Raw genomic sequence first — 17,871 nt, forward strand, 5'->3', positions numbered from 1 at the left:
TGGCAACATGTATATGTGTTTTTGAGGTGGTAGGTAGCTGAGATTGAAGATGAGTGGATTTATGAATTGAATAACAATAAATATCCTACTTAAAAATGTTAAAAGTTGGAAATCATCTCTTATTGTGATAACATATTTCTCCTCCCTGGGAATCTGTTGGACAGATTGGAGCTGGCAGGGTAGGGCCTGTATTGTTGAAGTTGCCATGGCTACTGCAGGAAGTGAGCTTTCTTCTAAAAACCTCACTGGCCCAAGAACAAGCCCAGGCAAGTCTACAATTCAATGACTTAGAAGTATTTTCTTATTCTAAAATGTTGCACTGATAATTGCTAAGAAGTATAAACAAAGGAAAGGGAGGCTGTTTGTCTTTGTCTTTCTTCCTAATTAGTCCCTTTCCTTACATTTTCCTTAATTATCTACACACCTGAATACAAGTCCCTCCCAATTACAAAGCCAATGCCTATTTTTTGAAACAGAAAATTTTAAAAACATTTTTTGCCAATTTGAACATATAAATATTTAAGCCTCTAAGTGAAATCGTTAAAAATCTACTTATAATATTCCATTTATTAATCTACACATATGTATATTAATTGCATAAAACTGAAAAGAAAATTATATACACTCATACTTTGCAATATTGCTTTATTCTACTCTGATATTTCATGAAACAATCTGTTCACATGTGTCGTGTGCATCTTGGCTGTCAGCAACTTTGCCATCACTGGAAACCCTTTCTGATTTTTTAAAACAGTTTTCCAAAACTATCTTCTCTGCCACCCACGTTTCTATAACACAGCAATTTTTAAATACAGATGTAATACTATCACAGAAAATTTTATCCCAGACCACAAGTATCCATTTCTACAAGCTAGGACAGGTTTTCTTTTTATAATTCATCATCCATGTTTTAGTGATCTCCATCACGTCTCACTTACTGTATTGCTTTTTAAAAAAAGCTCATGTTCGAGCTGGGCATGGTGGCTCACGCCTGTAATCCCAGCACTTTGGGAGGCTGAGGTGGGCTAATCATGAGGTCAGGAGCTCGAGACCAGCCTGGCCAACATGGTGAAACCCCATGTCTAATAAAAATACAAAAAATTAGGTAGGCATGGTGGCAGGCACCTGTAATGCCAGCTACTCAGGTCGAGGCAGGAGAATCACTTGAATCCAGGAGGTGGAGGTTGCAGTGAGCCGAGATCGAGCCACTGCACTCCAGCCCAGGCAACAGTATGAGACTCCATCTCAAAAAAAAAAAAAAAAAAAAGCTTATGTGCTTATGTTCAATGGTATGCAAGACTTGAAAGAATGAGTTAAACTCCCAAAGGAAAAATGATCACACTATGTTAAATTTCTTTGAGTCCTTTTTTTAAAATTCAAAATGAATTCTATTAGATGACCTAACAAAATAGCAGTAGTAACAACAACTAACACTTCCCAAGCCTTTGTCATCTGCCAAACACTGTTGAAACACAGTATGCATAGTAACTTATGTAAGGGCCTCTTTCTCAAGAGTGCTTCCAGAGTGTGGCAGAGGAGGCTCCCTGAGCAGATATGGCTGTGGACCAGAAAAAACATCACTCACTGTGATGTCCTGAGGGCATCAGATGGTTTCTACTTGTGTGTGCCTTACTGCTGCTTAATCTGCTGGTTATCAAACGCACACGCATGTATGCGCACTCACACACACACAGTTGACTACCTTTTCTTTTTGTCAGAGGGAAATAGAAGATCTCAACAGCATGCCATTGTTTTAGATAAGTGGTTCTCAGCACTTGTCTGCATATTAGAACCATCTGAGAAAGCGTTTTAAAAACAGTGATGATGCTCAAGCCTCAACCCAGAGCAAATACATCAGAATTTATGTCTGGTGGAGCCAGAGCATCAATGGATTTGAAAGCTCCTCAGGTGATTCTCATTTTTAACCAGCCTGAGAACCAATGTTTTAGATTATTGCACACAAACCAAATGTCCTCATATTTCTCCCTAGATGAATTGAATGTCCTGCACCTACTAGGAAGTTTAGAATTACTATCCATACTCTTTCAGTATTCAGCAGCTTTTCAAAAATTCTGCTTAGAGGAATGCCTGGTGGATTCACGGATCTTACCTGTATGTTTAGAATACATCCAAGTTCTTCTGGACTCATAACACCACCCAGAGACTGATGCAAGGGATCTATCTCCCCACCAGCTTCTCCCCACTCGTTAAGGGGGGCACCCAACTCCTCAACTCTGTCCCCTACCTGCCCACACCCACACACACACATTTCCTGTCTCATATCTCTCAATCTTTAGTTGATCACACTAGAGACATTCTCTTTCTGATCTAACAATTCTCCTTCCACAGTTTTTCCTTCTAATAAAGCCCACTTAACAAAATAATAATAGTAACTTCCGCTTTGACTGTTAAGTATCACACATTTACTAGGTAGGCATTTTATATAACTATCATTAAAGCCTCACAACAAACCTAGGATAGACTCATTTTGCAGATAAGGACACTAAAGGCCGTAGAGAAAATACAACCTCCTTAACATCACCTAAGTAGCAAGTAGCAAGTCTGGGATTCCGACTCTGATATATTGATTCCAATGCTGAAAGCTCCAAGCTGTATTACCGCACTCTCTGGCTTCATTGATGTGCAGTTTGTACAGTCACACAGGGTCCTGTGCTCAGAGGACATCAAACTTGATGTAATGCTGTCTGTCACTGTCTGGAAGTTCTGAATAATTTTTGAACAAGGAGTTCCACATTTTTCTTTTGCACTAGGCTCCGCAAATTAGGAGTCCTGCTCTTCTACTCCTGCCAGAAACAAATCAAGGCAAGTCACTCTATATCTTTTGAGAACCAAAAGTGTATTCAAATCTTGACCACTTAGAATAAAAGCAGTGAACTAAAGAAAAAACGTATGTTTTAATGTGAAATTAGACCTGATAGAGAACTGGTACTACTAACCTTTGAAGTTCCAGAAAATGTTCAAAATCTTCAATAAGGCTGCTTTCCACCTTATCGTCCTCTGAGTAACCTAATTTTACTCATATTGGCCCTCAAAATAAGATTTTTAAAACTTAATGATCTAGTTTTTTGTTATTTCCATTCTGTAGCTAATCCCATCTCCAACTAATACACCCATCTCCCCAAAAATAAAGATCAGTTATTTCATTTCCTTTGGGAGCCAAAGCACACTCAAATTGTGATCATTTAGAGAAAAAAGGGAATATTAACATTTAGAAAAACCTATGACCTTAAAGATAGATTAAAAATACCCAATCTGAAGAACAGAGAGAAAAAAGATAAAAATAGGAAGAAGATGAGGACGAAGTAAAGGAAGAACAACAATGAAGTCCCAGGGACTGGTGGTTAATATCTAAAAGTCTGCCATGCATACTACTGGAATCCTAGAAGAAAATAATAGGGTAGAAAAGTATTTGAAGAAATAATATGCAACAATGTCTAAAATTTGGAGAAATATATAGTTTTACAACTTAAGGAAGAGTAATAAACTTCAAACAAAATAAAGATAAGGCATACCTACCCCTATCTATAAGAGATAAACTTTAAAGAGACAGGTAGATTAACAGTAAATGAATAGAAGGATACATACCATGCAAACAGTAAATCTTAAGAGAGCTGTCATGACTATATTAACATCAGGCGAAGTAGACCTCAGGACAAAGAATAATGCCAAAGTAAAAAGGGACATTTCATAATGATAAAATACCCAATTCTCCAGGAAGATTTTTAGTTATAAATGTGTATGTATAATAACAGAGTTTCAAAATACCTGGAGCAAATATTGAAAGAATTAAAGGAAGAAATAGACAATACCACAATCATACTCAAAGAATTTAACATCCTTCTCTCAAACAATGGTAGAGCAGTTAGACAAGAATTCAGTAAAGACATAAAACATATGAGTAACACTATCAACCATCTTACCCTAGTTGATATTTATAGAGTACTTCATCAAGCAACAGCACAATAAACATTCCTTTCAAGAGTACATGTTCACCAAGGGAGACTATATACTTGGCCATAAAGCAAGTCTCAATAAATTAAACAATATAAAATTGTACCAAATTCACTCTTTGTATACTATGGAATTAAATTAGAAATCAACAAGATAGAAAACCCCCAAATATTTGGAAATTAAATAGCAAATTTCTAAATATTATAATTATGTCTCAGAAAAGAAATTACAAGAAAAAATAGAAAATATATGAAAAAATGAAAATATTATAAACTATGCATCTAACAAAATCTAATATCCAGTATCTATAAGGAACTTAAACACATTTACAAGAAAAAAACAACCTCATTAAAAAGTGGGCAAAGGACATGAACAAACACTTTTCAAAATAAGACATCCATGCTGTCAACAAGCATATGAAAAAAGCTCAATATCACCAATCGTTAGAGAAACGAAAATCAAAACTACAATGAATACCGCCTCACATCAGTCGGCATGATTATTACTAAAACGTCAAAAAATAACAGATGCTGGCAAGGTTGCAGAGAAAAAGGAATGCTTCTACACTGTTGGTGGGAGTGTAAATTAGTTTAACCATTGTGGAAAGCAGTGTGGCTATTCCTCGAATAGCTAAAAACAGGACTGCCATTCAACCCAGGAATCTCATCACTGTATGTATACCCAAAGGAATATAAATAGTTCTATCATGAAAATACATGCGTGTGTACGTTAATTGCAATACTATTAACAATAGCAAAGACGAAGAATCAATCTAAATACCCATCCATGGTAGACTGGATAAAGAAAATGTGGTACATTTACATCATAATATTGAATACTATGCAGCCATAGTAAAAGAAAGAAAGAATGTCCTTTTCAGGAACATGGAGGTCATCAACCTTAGCAAAGTAACACAGGAACAGAAAACCAAATACCATGTGTTCTCACTTATAAGTGGCAGCTAAATAATGAGAACACATGGACACGTAAAGGGGAACAGCAGACACTGGGGCCTACTTGAGGGTGGAGGGTGGGAGGAGGGAGAGGAGCAGAATAAATAACTATCGGGTACCAGGCTTAGTACCTGAGTGACAAGATAATTTGTAAAACAAACCCCCATGACATGAGTTTACCTATATAACAAATCTGCACATATACGCAGAACCTAAAATAAAAGTTAAAGAAAAGAAAGATGTATTTAAATTCGTGAAATGTAGCAAAAGCAATCCCTAGAGAAAATGTTATAGCTTTTAATGTTTAGATTACCAAAGAGGAATGATCTCAACTTGGTAGCCAAGATTCTGTTTCAAGAAGGAAGAAAAGAAAAACACAATAATTTCAAAGTAAATAAAAGAAAGGAAATAATTTTAAAAGGAAAGAAATTTAGCAGAGCCGATATTTGGAAAATACTCAGAAAAATTGATAAGCACTCAGTTGGAGAGAAAGGAGAAATGGAGAGGGAGAGAGAACACAAAGTATTAATACCACCAAGAATGAAGGAAAAATTGTTACTACAGATCCTACAAATATTAAATGGATGAGAAGAAGTAGATACCAAAAATTTAGCAACTTGAGGTTAACAAATTCCTTGAAAAATACAACTTACATAATGTGAAATCTGACACAAGGTAAAACTGAAATCTGAATAGCGCAATATCATGTTTCAGGATAATTTTCCACGTAGTTTCACAGGAAAAAAATTATCCAACATTTAATGAGTTTGTGGGGTGGGGGAACTCCAATCTCATACAAAATCTCTCAGAAAATAAAGAGAGCTCACTTCCCTATTTATTTTGTGAGGTCAATAAAACCTTAATACAAAAACCTGTCAAAGACATTTAAAAAGAAAAAACTGCTAGACTGATATCTCTCATGCACATAAAAGCAAAAATATTTAACAAAATATTAGCAAATTGAAATAGTCAAAATATAAAAAGATAATACATTATGACCAAATGGAGTTTATCCTAGGAATTCAAGATCAGTTTAACATTTGAAATTTAACCTATTACAGGTATACCTCATTTTATTATGCTTCACTTCATCGTGTTTCACAGATATTAAGGGTTTTTCTTTTTACAAATTTAAGGTTTGTGTCAACCTTGCATCAGCAAGTCTATTGGAGCCATTTTCTCAACAGCGTGTGCTTGTTTTGTGTCTCTGTGATCACATTTTGGTAATTCTTCCAATAATTCAAACTTTTTAATTATTATTATATCTATTATGGTGATCTGTGATCAGTAATCCTTGATGTTACTATTGTAATTGTTTTAGGGCACCATAAGCCATGCCCATAGAAGATGACAGACTTGATGGATCAATGTTGTGCGTGTTCCGACTGCCACACCAACTAGCCATTCCCCATCTCTCTCCCTTTCCTTGGGCCTCTAATTCCCTGAGACACAACAATATTGCAGTAAAGCCAATTAGTAACCCTACAGTGGCCTCTAAGTGTACAGGTGAAAGGAAAATGTCTCTCTTCCTTTAAATTGATGTCTCTTGCTTTAAAGTAAAAGCTAGCCATGATTAAACTTAGTGAGCAAGGCCTGTAAAAACCCAAGATGGGCCAAAAGCTACAGTTGCACCAAACTGTAAACCAAGATGTGAATGCAAAGAAAAAAATTCCTGAAGCAATTTAAAAGTGTTACTCCAGTAAACACACGAATGATAAGAAAGTGATTGCTTATTGCTGATATGGAGGAAGTTTGAATGGTCTGGATAGTAAATCAAACCATCCACAACATTCCCTTAAGCCAAAGCCTAACTCAGAGCAAGACCCTGACTCTTTTCAATTCTGTAAAGGCTAAGAAAGCTGCAGAAGAAATGCTTGGAACTAGCAGAGGTTGGTTTATGAAGTTTAATAGATGAAGCAGTATAACATGTTAATGGTAGAATTTAGATGGTGAGTTCTTAACATAAAATTATTTCAACTTTTCTATATGTCTGAAATTTTTCATAATAAAACATTGGGAAAAAAACCTCAGCAGTAACCACTGCCATTGTTTCAAACCTAGACTCACAAGATATTTTTTGGGAGAGGAGTATTTTATCACTGACATTGTTTAGAATTGCCAGTACATGGTGATAATAAAAAGCAGACCAACGTTCAGTCAGACTTATTCTTGTTTTTAAATTCTCAATGGCAATGCACATCTTATTGCCTGCACCCAGGGTAGGCCCTCCTACTGCTTTTGGTACATGATTAGTGTCATGGAATTGGAAAAAGTGTAATGACAAGAACCTGCCTGATTCCAAAGTTCTTCCCATGCCAACAAACTCTTTCCACATTACCCTGCTACCTACACAGCAAATCATACAAAGATGAAAAAGATACAAATCTTGCCTACAATGAGATCATAGTATAGTGGAGACAGATCCATACTTATATATTTGTGATACAAGATGAATATCATGTATTTTCAAATAACATGCTGGAAGAAAATGGGGGAAAGTTTCTTGAAAGAGATAGTATCTGAGGTGTACTGTGTTGGCTACTTAAACTCATGCGATGTTCATAAGCTTAAGCTGAAAATTCTTAACATGATCTACAAGTTCTTAGGTGATCTGGTCCCTTTCTACCTCTCTATCCTCATTCTGGACATCTCCCAGTGAGCAGCCTCTAAAAAATAATACACACACACACACACACACACACACACACACACACACACACGCACACACACACAAACACTGGCCACACTGGCCTGATTTCTGTTCTTCTTATCATGTTCTTTCCTGCCTTGCGGCTTTACCAGGGACCTACCCTACCAGGAATGCTCTTCCTTTATTTCCTCCTCTCCTCCCACCTAGCTCAATCCTACTCATTCTTCAGCAGTTAGATACAAGACTGCTTTCTCAGTAAATTCTTCTCGGACCTCTCAGGCTGGGTTGCTTCCCTTTTTTTCTTCTTTGGGACACAGAACACAACTGTTACTATACCACTTCTGTGTAAATTTCATTGTGGTCCAGATTAGAAGATCTGCATCATCTGGAACCAAATTTGACTTGTTTCCAACAGTAACCCAGTAGGCATTCAATAAATGTTTGTTGACTGAATAGACCTTCATGGCCTAGTAGGTGAATCCATGAATGAACAAAGGGCAGGCCTTTAACACTCAGTTATGAATGGAGATGAAGGCAAATGCCATCTGGAGACAGGCAAACCTTGAGCCAAAACCCAGACGGGGAAGGAATGAGAAGAGAAACAGAGACATGGGTGTTAGGTACTTTCTGAGACTGATTTTTTAACTCTCAAGAGGCTTTTGTGCTTATCCTGGAGGGGACCAGATATGAACTACCTTTTGTAAAAAATAGGTGGATTAGAGGAACGAGAGAGAATCTGCAAAAATTCTCTCACCAGCCATATCTCTAATTAAAGTTTCTAGGGAATGTTCTTTTTCTGCTACATCTCACAACACCAAAGAGACCAAAACTGGGATGTGGCCAGATCCCTGAGAATTCTCACTTTCTTATCAGCACAGTCCAACCCTACCTAGTCCCTTTTGGCCAAATGCTTAGATACATAATGACACTAGACTCCCTGTTGGGGGCATGTAAAGCTTCCCAAAGAAATGATTCTAGATGCCTAGATTTTTTTTTTATTAAATCAGAAATGGGTTAATGAATGGTAGGGCATATAGAGAGAGAATGTGTAGAGAGTTGATCCCTGCCTTGTTGTCGAGACCACACACTAGTTCATTGATTTCTGCTCCATTTCCTTAGTCCTGACAGGAATTTAAATGTTTCAAGTTCTTTTAAGCCTGAAAATGTTTGAAAAGCTTTATTCCAAAAAGGTGCTTACACATTTTTTTCCTGCAGTATTTAGGCTTCTATTTATTGATCCCTTGGTACATTCCATCCTGATGATGGGCAAATGGGAAAAGGATGAAAACTGAAACGGTATGCACAACAACCTCAAACCATAATAGTGTAACAGTAAACCATTCTTTCAACATCTGGAATCCTGTGGGCAACTTTCCTAATAAGAAAATCAAGTCAATTTAAATCCATGTCCACACAAAGACTTACAAACCATAGGCTTATTTCTTTTAATCTTTTCTGAAGTTTCTCTGTGACTAAACCTGAATTTCAATTTCCTGGTGTGCATAAAATTAGGATATTAGACTAATGGAGTTCTGCCTACTCCCATGACAGATAGAACAGGCATTGCTAATCACTTACAGAAAACTTCACAAAACAGTATACCAGGCAGTCACTACCATTCCACTCAAGACTACACATGAGCTGAAATCTATTTGCTGTCCTGGAACAAAGAGGTCCCCAAGCCTTTTTATCGCTAATCTCTGAAGTCTATGGTTCTAAAGGAAGCCTATATGAGGCGATAGTCTCAAATATAGAAACATATAAATTTACAAGCTCTCAACTTAAGAACTTTCACAGATGCAAACAAATGAACCAAAGCAAAAATGCATCCATTCTATTAAAAACCCTTATTTTAATAGTATTACTTTGATCTTATGAGTAAATGAAACCCCCAACCTTTTTGGACTGTTCCTGCTTATAAGTGAAAAGCCTTCTGTACGCCACACTTTTCTTTTCCATTATCCTCCTTACATCCTCAATTCTTCCTGAACTCATAGAAACACTTGGAACAGCCTTGTTCATCCTGGGCCCCTCTCCTCTCTACACTGTGGGCAACTGTGTCCCTACCACCACCTGCTTCCCCATCAAAATCTGTCTCAGAGAAGATCTAATAAAGTCAGCCAAGCTGAGGTATAGCTGAAAGCTAACATCTAAACAATCTTCTCTTCTCAACGTATTTCTACTGTATTAGGAACAATGCTCCAAACAGAAGGGATGCATTTCTACTTGTAGAATTATTTTGTTTTCCAATTAGAAGAGTTAGAAAGTTATTTGGAAGAAGCAGCAGGGGAGAAGGGCCTTCTCAGTTCCCCTAAATTATTCCCTGAAGATGTATGCCTAATCCTCCTCCTCAAATGCCAGCTTTATATACATCTATTAAAATACCTGGAACATCTATTCTGAAGATATGGCTCATGAACCACCTAAATCAGAAAGCCATGGGTATTTGGGAAGTATGCAGATGATTGAGCTCTTTCCTCAAACTAAAAATCTAAATCTCTTGGGCTGGGCCCCAGGAATGTGCAATTCATCAAGCTTTCCTACTCTGACCAGGGGAGTTCTTATACAAAAATAAATTTCAGGACAACTGTTTCAAAGTAAAGGCTCAGTACCTCTATCTACATCAACATTTACACTTTTCCTGTTTTATTGCTGTTTCCCAGCCAGATTATAAACTGCCTGAAAGCCAAGACCGTATCTCATATTTTAAGAATTCCCCATAGCTGTTCCTACCTTAGCTTTTTAATAATTTTACATTTGAGGAGAGCTTTCTCAATTAATATCATAAAAGAAATAGCATTTCTCACTAGAAACCATGATAATTCAATGAAGTGGGCATTAATCAGATATTTAAATTAAATATGAATTAAGTAAGAATCCAAAAACACAGTAACTCATTGGCCTTTGTCCATTTTACAGACTTTTCTTTCAGTTTTTGCATGGGAGGGCCAAATGCACAGTACGTGCAAATTGTCAAACTTAGTATGCTCTTCAGTACATTAGTATGATTTTATTATGTATTGCAGCCAAATTTACTTTCTTCAGAATTGGAAATGATCTCACATATAGATGTTCACTTTCAACAATTCCATGAGTACCTCTACCCAGTTAAATAAATTTAAGCCATATTTATTTTGCCCTAAGATATTCAAAAAATTTTTCTAATATTACTTAAAATTGCTTGTCCCAGAATGGGACAAGTCTGTAAGATTGACAGGGAAGTTTAGGTACAAGAGATTTTTAAGGTTTTGGAACAAGAGTAATAGTATACAGATATATTTGTGTTTTCCAATTTTCTGAAAAAAAGGAATGCAATCAACGAATCAATAAAAGAGCAAAATTAAAAATTACTTGCTTTTTTATGTAAGAGCATTTGGTGGAAAGTTTATTGTCCTCTTATGTGTACTCTTCAAAATTGAAGACTATGGCATTTGCTTCTTTCTTCTTTTTTATGTTTAAAGAAACCCTAAAATGGCGTAATTGACCCAAGTTCTTTAGAAATCAGGCAACACCTTCCACTTGCCCAAGGAGTGTAGATTTCTTGGAGTAGGGAACACCACTTTAAGGCTAACACAGGAAGCCACACTCAGGGTTCAAGGTTTATGATTTGTATTTAATGTGGTTTGCAGCCCTGTTTTCTTTATGAAGGTGATGACTGAAGAGAAACTCTCAACCCCAAGGCACCAAGATGAAGTAGTTGCAAATACTGATGAGGTGGATGGGCGATCATCTGGGTCATTGTTCTGGTAGCAGGGGCCAGAAAACTAACTGTAAAGGGCCAGATAGGAAATATATTTGGCTTTTGGGGTTAAACAGTCTTGGTTGTAACTACTCAACTCTGATGTTTTGTGAAAGCAGCCAGAGACAGTACATCCAAGAATGAGACTGTTTCCCAATAAAACATAACTTACAAAAACAGGTGACCCATGGGCTGAAGTTTGCTGACGTCCTATATAGAGTATAAAAAACCCTCTTCGTGGGATGAGAAAGAGTCTAGCACTGATAAAACTCATGTCTGGAATTCAGGGCAATACAGGATGCACCCCTCCAGAGGAGAGTCACTCTTCCTAAAAGGTGGCAAAAAGTTCTTACTGAAAGGGTTATGTATTGAGTGATCAGTGCTGTTGCTTTTCATAGTGAATAATTCTTTCTTCCCTTTAAATAGCCCTGTGGCTGAATCATTAATGGAATCTGTAAGAAAAAGAGAGAGAGAGAGAGAGAGAATGAAAGAGAAAGAAAAAGGCAGGCAGGCAGGCAGGCAGGCAGGCTGGCTGGCTGGCTGGCTAGGTTATCCAAGGAAATGAATATATTCTGGTGGACAGGTTGTATGTGCACAGGCCTGTGGGACCAAGCAGGTTTGCTGACAGGGCATCTAAACAGAAGAGAAGGCTAGAGTGTCCCTGTGAATGTCTTTATAAACAGTGGTCAATACTGTGGGAAGGACTGTGAGCATGTGAGGTTAGTAGTTAAGAGTATAGGCTCTGGAGACAAACAGACCTAAGATTTAAATCCTGGCTCTATTCTTTACAGCTGTTAGGTCTTGAGCATGTCGCTCAACCTTCAAGCCTTAGTTTTCTCATCTGTAAAATGTGAGTAAGGATACCCTACCTTGCAGGATGTTTAAAAGGAATAAAAAGTATGTTGAACCTTTAACATAACATAGAGGCCCAGTAAATGGAAACCACTGTAATTAATTAGACTTCGAGCAGGAAATTTGTATTGAGAGCAACTAAGAATTAAAATATGATTAAGGATCTAAGAGAGTGAAGAACAAAGCAATAAGCTCATGCATTATACTTCCTTTCTAGAATTTTGTTTTCAAGGTTTGTTCATTGTTTCATTCAGCAAATGTTTCCGAAGCACCTATTATATTCCTGGCACTCTGCTGGGGTTACAAAAATCAATAAAGTTTCCTCACTTCTAAGGATAGAAAGTTAAAAGTGCTTTGGTGGCTGTGCTTGTTATGAAGCTATTGTCTTTTTGAGCTGCAAACTCATCCTTCCATACACTGCTTGGTGATGCTGGGAATGATACTCAGAAAACCGCTTTTCTCATTTGCCAGCTGTACCCTATCAGGCTCTGCCAATGGGTATATAAGGGAGACTGGAAGGCTAGAGGAAGGAGAAGGGATATATGCTTCTGTTCCCATTTGCTTTGTGTCATGTCAGCATGACCACCAGAAGGCTTCTTCACCCTGGCAGCAGCAATTTACTTGCAGTGTTTCCACACTCTTAGACCCACTCAGCACTGATCTCTGATATATGAGCAAAGGTCTGAGTCAACCCCACAAGCCCTCTCTCCCACATTCTAAATTTTATAAATCCCAACCTCTTAACTTGATTCCTCCAGCCCTAAGGATGGTAGCGACTTTCTACAGTTACTATCTCTATGTTATCTAAGTTTTCTTTCATTTGTCTTTTCGGTTCTCTAGCACCTGCTTAATGGTTCCTTATATTAAATTCACTCTGTTAAGGTTATTGGTGTGGTTTCTAACTCCTGACTGGCTTTTGACCGTGTAAGTGTTAAACGTTAACTCACAAAGGTCTATTAGCAATTTCGCAAATTCTGTATCACAAGGAATAGGCTCAGTAAGCATACTTTTGTGGGTGAACGCTTTAGACAAGAGAGGAAATCTTTTAAAGGTCCAACACTGTGAAAATAAAAAGCCAGTTTATAGAAAGGCAGAGTGAAGAGGCAATTCATGGAAATGGAGAAAATATTTACAAATTATATATCTAATAATGAATTAATATGCAAAATATATAAAGAACTCCTACGATTCAGCAACAGCAACAACAAACAATCCAATTAAAAAATGAACAAAGTACTTGAATAGACATTTCTCCAAAGAAGATATGCCAAGGTCCAAAAAGCACATAAAAAGATACTCAGCATCACTAATCATTACGGAAATGCAGATCAAAACAACGTTGGACCACTTCACACCTATTAGGATGCCTATTATCCATAAATAGAGACCAAAAAGTGTTGGAGAGTATGTGGAGAAGTTGGGACCCTTGTCCACTGATGATGGAAATGTAAAATGGTGCAGCCATTATGGAAAACAATGTGGTGGTTCCTCAAAAAAGGCAAAAATAGAATTGCCATATGACCCAGTAATTTCACTCCTAGGTGTATACCCAACAGAATTGAAAGCAGCAACTCTACAGATGCTTGTACACCTATGTTCACAGCAGCATTATTCACAAGCGGCAAAAGAAGAAAGCTACCCAAATGTCCACAGATGAATGAATAAACAAAATGTGGCATATACATAAAAAGTGATATTATTCAGCCTTAAGAAAGAAGAAAATTCTGACACTGCACCATGGATGAACATTGAGGACATTATGTTAAGTGAAATAAACTGGTCACAGAAAAACAAATACTGTTTCATTCTACTTATATGAGGAAGTTAACATAGTCAGATTTGCTGACAGAAAGTAGAATGATGGTTATCAGGGGCTGGGAGGTTTGGGAAATGGGGAGTTAGTGTTTAACGGGTACAGAGTTTCAGTTTTGGGAGGTGGAAAAAGTTCTGGAGATAGATAGTGGTGATAATGTGAATACACTTAATGCCATCAAGCCATACACTTAGAGGTAGTAAATTTTATGTATATTTTACAATATAAAAAAGAATAAATATATACACATTTGTGGTTGTTCTTCCTATAATATCCTTGTTAGAGGGATTATCTTGTCAAATATCCAGGCCTCAAATTTAAAATGCTGAAAGAAGTCATGACAAGCTGAAATGAAACCGAGTGACAGCACTGAAAGGAAATTTATCTTCCTGGTCTCTTTTTTCGATCCTCTTTGGGATGGGTATTTATGCCTCTGGTGGGTACTCTCTGAATGGCAGTGAATTTCCTGATTCTTTCAGTCTATTTAATAGGAAAGACAGGATATATATTCAAAGGGAATTCAAATTAGAACAAGGGAAAGGAAACCAAAAGTTTAACTGTAGTCATAGCAAGGCAAATTTTTCAGATGGAAACTGAAACAATTTAATAAATATTTTGAAAACCATGATGAAGCCAACTCTACTGTATATTTAGGGAACCGTAATGCCTAATAACTGTGTTCTAGACCAAGGCCATAGACAGCTGTGCTCCATCAACTTATTACTGATCTGTCTGCTTCGGTTTCCTTATTCACACAATGGAGATAATAGCAATCAATACTTCCTAAGGTCTTTAGCAGAATCAAGCTCTTAGAGTAGTACCTGGCACACAGTAAGTTCTGTGCAAGCATTTGTTAAAACAAACAAATACATATTTATTTAATAGCAATTAATGTTGGCTAGGTATTTTTTACAACCTAATTTCATGTCCATTAACTCTTTTGATTCTTAAACAGTCCTACAATGAAAGGAAAATAGCTCAAGAAATGCTAAAAAATAACTGTTGCCTAGTTCAGCTAAGGCAACGTGATTTAATCCTTGCTGAGCCTTATTTTCTTTTACTTCCGAATCAGCTATCCTGTGGCCTTATTCTTCCATCACAGGTGTCAATGGATAAATTTAATTTCCTGATAGAATAGGTAAGCTATCAAAATTCAGTCATTTTTATTTAAATTGAATCAATAAAATAAAGACATTTTGAACATTTGGGCATTTTTGACTAATACCTTCCCCTCTGAGTATGAATCACTTTTCAGTATTATACATGTACACATATACACTGCTTTCATTGGTGCAATTGTACTTTTTCTGGGCAAGTTCTATTTCAGCCCCATGAATTTTTTCCTAGATTTATCCCCTTATAATACACTTTTCTACTTCCACACTGTTTTTCAGAGCCTTCTAGGTGAAGATGACAGAAAGATGAAGAGAGGCAGCCTAGTAGATAGGACAGAAATGAATTTTGACACCAAAAAAGGATCAGCATTCAAACCCAAGCCTTGTCACTGAGCTGCAAGGCCTTGGGTGAGTTATCTGGCTTCTTCTAACCACAGTTTTCTCCGCATACATACATACATATTGTTATGTAATTATTATAAGCATCTGCTTGTGGAACGTACACACACACACACACATGTATAGAGTGAATATAAGCATCTTTGTGAAAAATAAACCCTAAAATTACCCACAGACATAAATTTTCGTGCAATATAACCAAAAGGTAATGATAATAAGAACCAGAATTCACGAAAGATAGAATTTTGATAATTTCTGAATGGGTTAGAATTGTTATTGTTAAGTAAAAGCAATCATAGACGATTAAATCAATGCTTTCTGAGGTTAATTCTCAAGTTACTGTGGCTGTAATCTGTCTGCAGGTTGGGAAACTATATTGGGGAAAGGAGTGGACTTTGTGTGTAAAACTCATGTAAAAATATGAGGCATTCCATTTATGCTCTCCAAACAATACATATTTTAAAAAGAAAAGAAAAACTCTGTGTGTGTGTGTGTGTGTGTGTGTGTGTGTGTGTGTGTGACAGAGAGGGAGAAAGTGGGTGTGTGCGCGCATTTGTGTGTGTGTGTTTGGGGGGCACATAAGATGGATGAATAAGCACAAAGAATGTGTTTTAGGATCACGAAATTTGGAAGATGAGAGGGACTGTGCAGATGCTCTCTCTCCCTCACCTCCTTTCATAGATGGAGAAGCCCAAAATTTCACAGCCAGGTCAAACATCTAGTTGGAGCCAGTCACAGAACACAGGTTGTCACCACTTCCCATTCCGCCACTCATCTGATGCCCCTCTAGTGTCCTCGTCAGCCTGTGAGCCTGGGTTGTTTCTGTAAGTGATGATTTTGCATCCACACTCCCCCAGCCTATCCCAACGAGAAAGATGGGAGTTATAAACTTTGACTTATGCAGTTGAATGAGACATTGTTTGATGGAAGTATGTGGGCGGGGAGGCTAACAAACAACCAATTGCCAACTCTTGAAGCAAACATGCTCTTTTTATCCCCCAATGTAGTTTTTGACACAATGAGCATGGCTTCCAATTTTTTTGCAAATGGGCATACTGGTGACCATGGCAACTGGCATGCTCAAAAGATGCCCTGTCAGGGGCTCTGAAAGGCCTAAAGACATTTGTATTAGGTGGGCATAGCCATCCTGGCTAGTGCTTAACAAACACCCAACTAGACCATGCTCCTCAAAATCAAGCGCACAAACATTTGTGTTTCATTAAACAGAAATTAATAAGACTCCAAGAGAAAGAAGCAAAGTTTTTTTGTGTGTACACAGCTGTGTTATGAAGTAATACAGAGAACGCTCATATGAATAATGATTACACATGTGTGTTCAATTTATTTCTTTTACTTCTTACACAGACTCCTTAAACTTTTTTTTTTTTTTTTTTTTTTTGTATAGGTTGTTCAGAAATCAATCACAGGTTTCACAGCTGGCCAGGACAGGGATCTTGACTGCTGCTTTCACAGGACAGGGCCCCAATAGCACTTCTATATTTAGAAGCCACCCTGGGTCATTGGTAAATTATACTTTTAAAAATATAAATACTCTATTCCTTGATTATAAAGGACATGAGTCTAATGGTTTGACTCTACTAGAGAGGAACATAAATTTTTAAAAGTCCATGTCTAGAAATAGAGTCTCTAATTTTTTTAAAAGGATAAATATGGCTTTTGGAACAAATAAAGATGGAAAGAGTCACAAGCCATGCGGGTGTCCTCAGGTGACGGTCCTACCTCGGGTCCCTAGTCCCACCTTTTTTAAAGGATTGTTTGCTTCCTTATTATAGAGCCCAAGGAGGCTGGTCTAAGAGTCTGAATGTTTTTGAAGAAGAAAATGAGGAAGAGAGAATGAGAGACAGGGAGACAGAGAGAAAGCAAGAGAGAAGAAGTGGAAGGAGAAGGAGAAGAAAAAGAAGAGAGAATTGGAGAAAAGAGAGGCGAAATATCTAGATATTCTTCAGTATGCTGATTGTCTATGCTTCATGAGGCTGAAGCAGTCTCCTCTTTCATGTCTTCAGTCAAGTCAATCTACATGCTTTTTTTTCCCCATAGGTTATTGGGGTACGGGTGGTATTTGGTTACATGAGTAAGTTCTTTAGTGGTGATTTGTGAGATTTTGGTGCACCCATCACCCGAGCAGTATACATTGTACCCTATTTGTAGTCTTTTATCCCTCACCCCCTCCCACCCTTCCCCCCAAGTCCCCAAAATCCATTGTACCATTCTTATACCTTTGTGTCCTCATAGCTTAGCTCCCACATATCAGCGAGAGCATATGATGTTTGATTTTCCATTCCTGAATTACTTTACTTAGAATAATAGTCTCCAATCTCACCTAGGTATCTGCAAATGCCATTAATTCATTCCTTTTT

At 37.3% G+C, this 17,871-nt stretch overlaps 1 protein-coding gene across 1 annotated transcript in view, besides 1 other annotated feature; it reads right to left on the bottom strand.

The window, feature by feature from the left end:
- DLEU7 (deleted in lymphocytic leukemia 7) overlaps window positions 1–17,871 on the bottom strand; it is a 132,914-nt gene that overhangs the window by 20,334 nt on the left and 94,709 nt on the right. The gene's annotated exons all lie outside the window — the stretch shown is intronic.
- Window positions 128–327: an enhancer, noted in NCBI's record as "active region_7763". NCBI's record gives its function as "activates an Ori minimal core promoter by ATAC-STARR-seq in GM12878 lymphoblastoid cells {active_cell/tissue: GM12878}" and the evidence as "EXISTENCE:reporter gene assay evidence [ECO:0000049][PMID:35858748]".

Source organism: Homo sapiens, chromosome 13 (assembly GCF_000001405.40).
Source record: "Homo sapiens chromosome 13, GRCh38.p14 Primary Assembly".
NCBI lineage: Eukaryota > Metazoa > Chordata > Mammalia > Primates > Hominidae > Homo > Homo sapiens.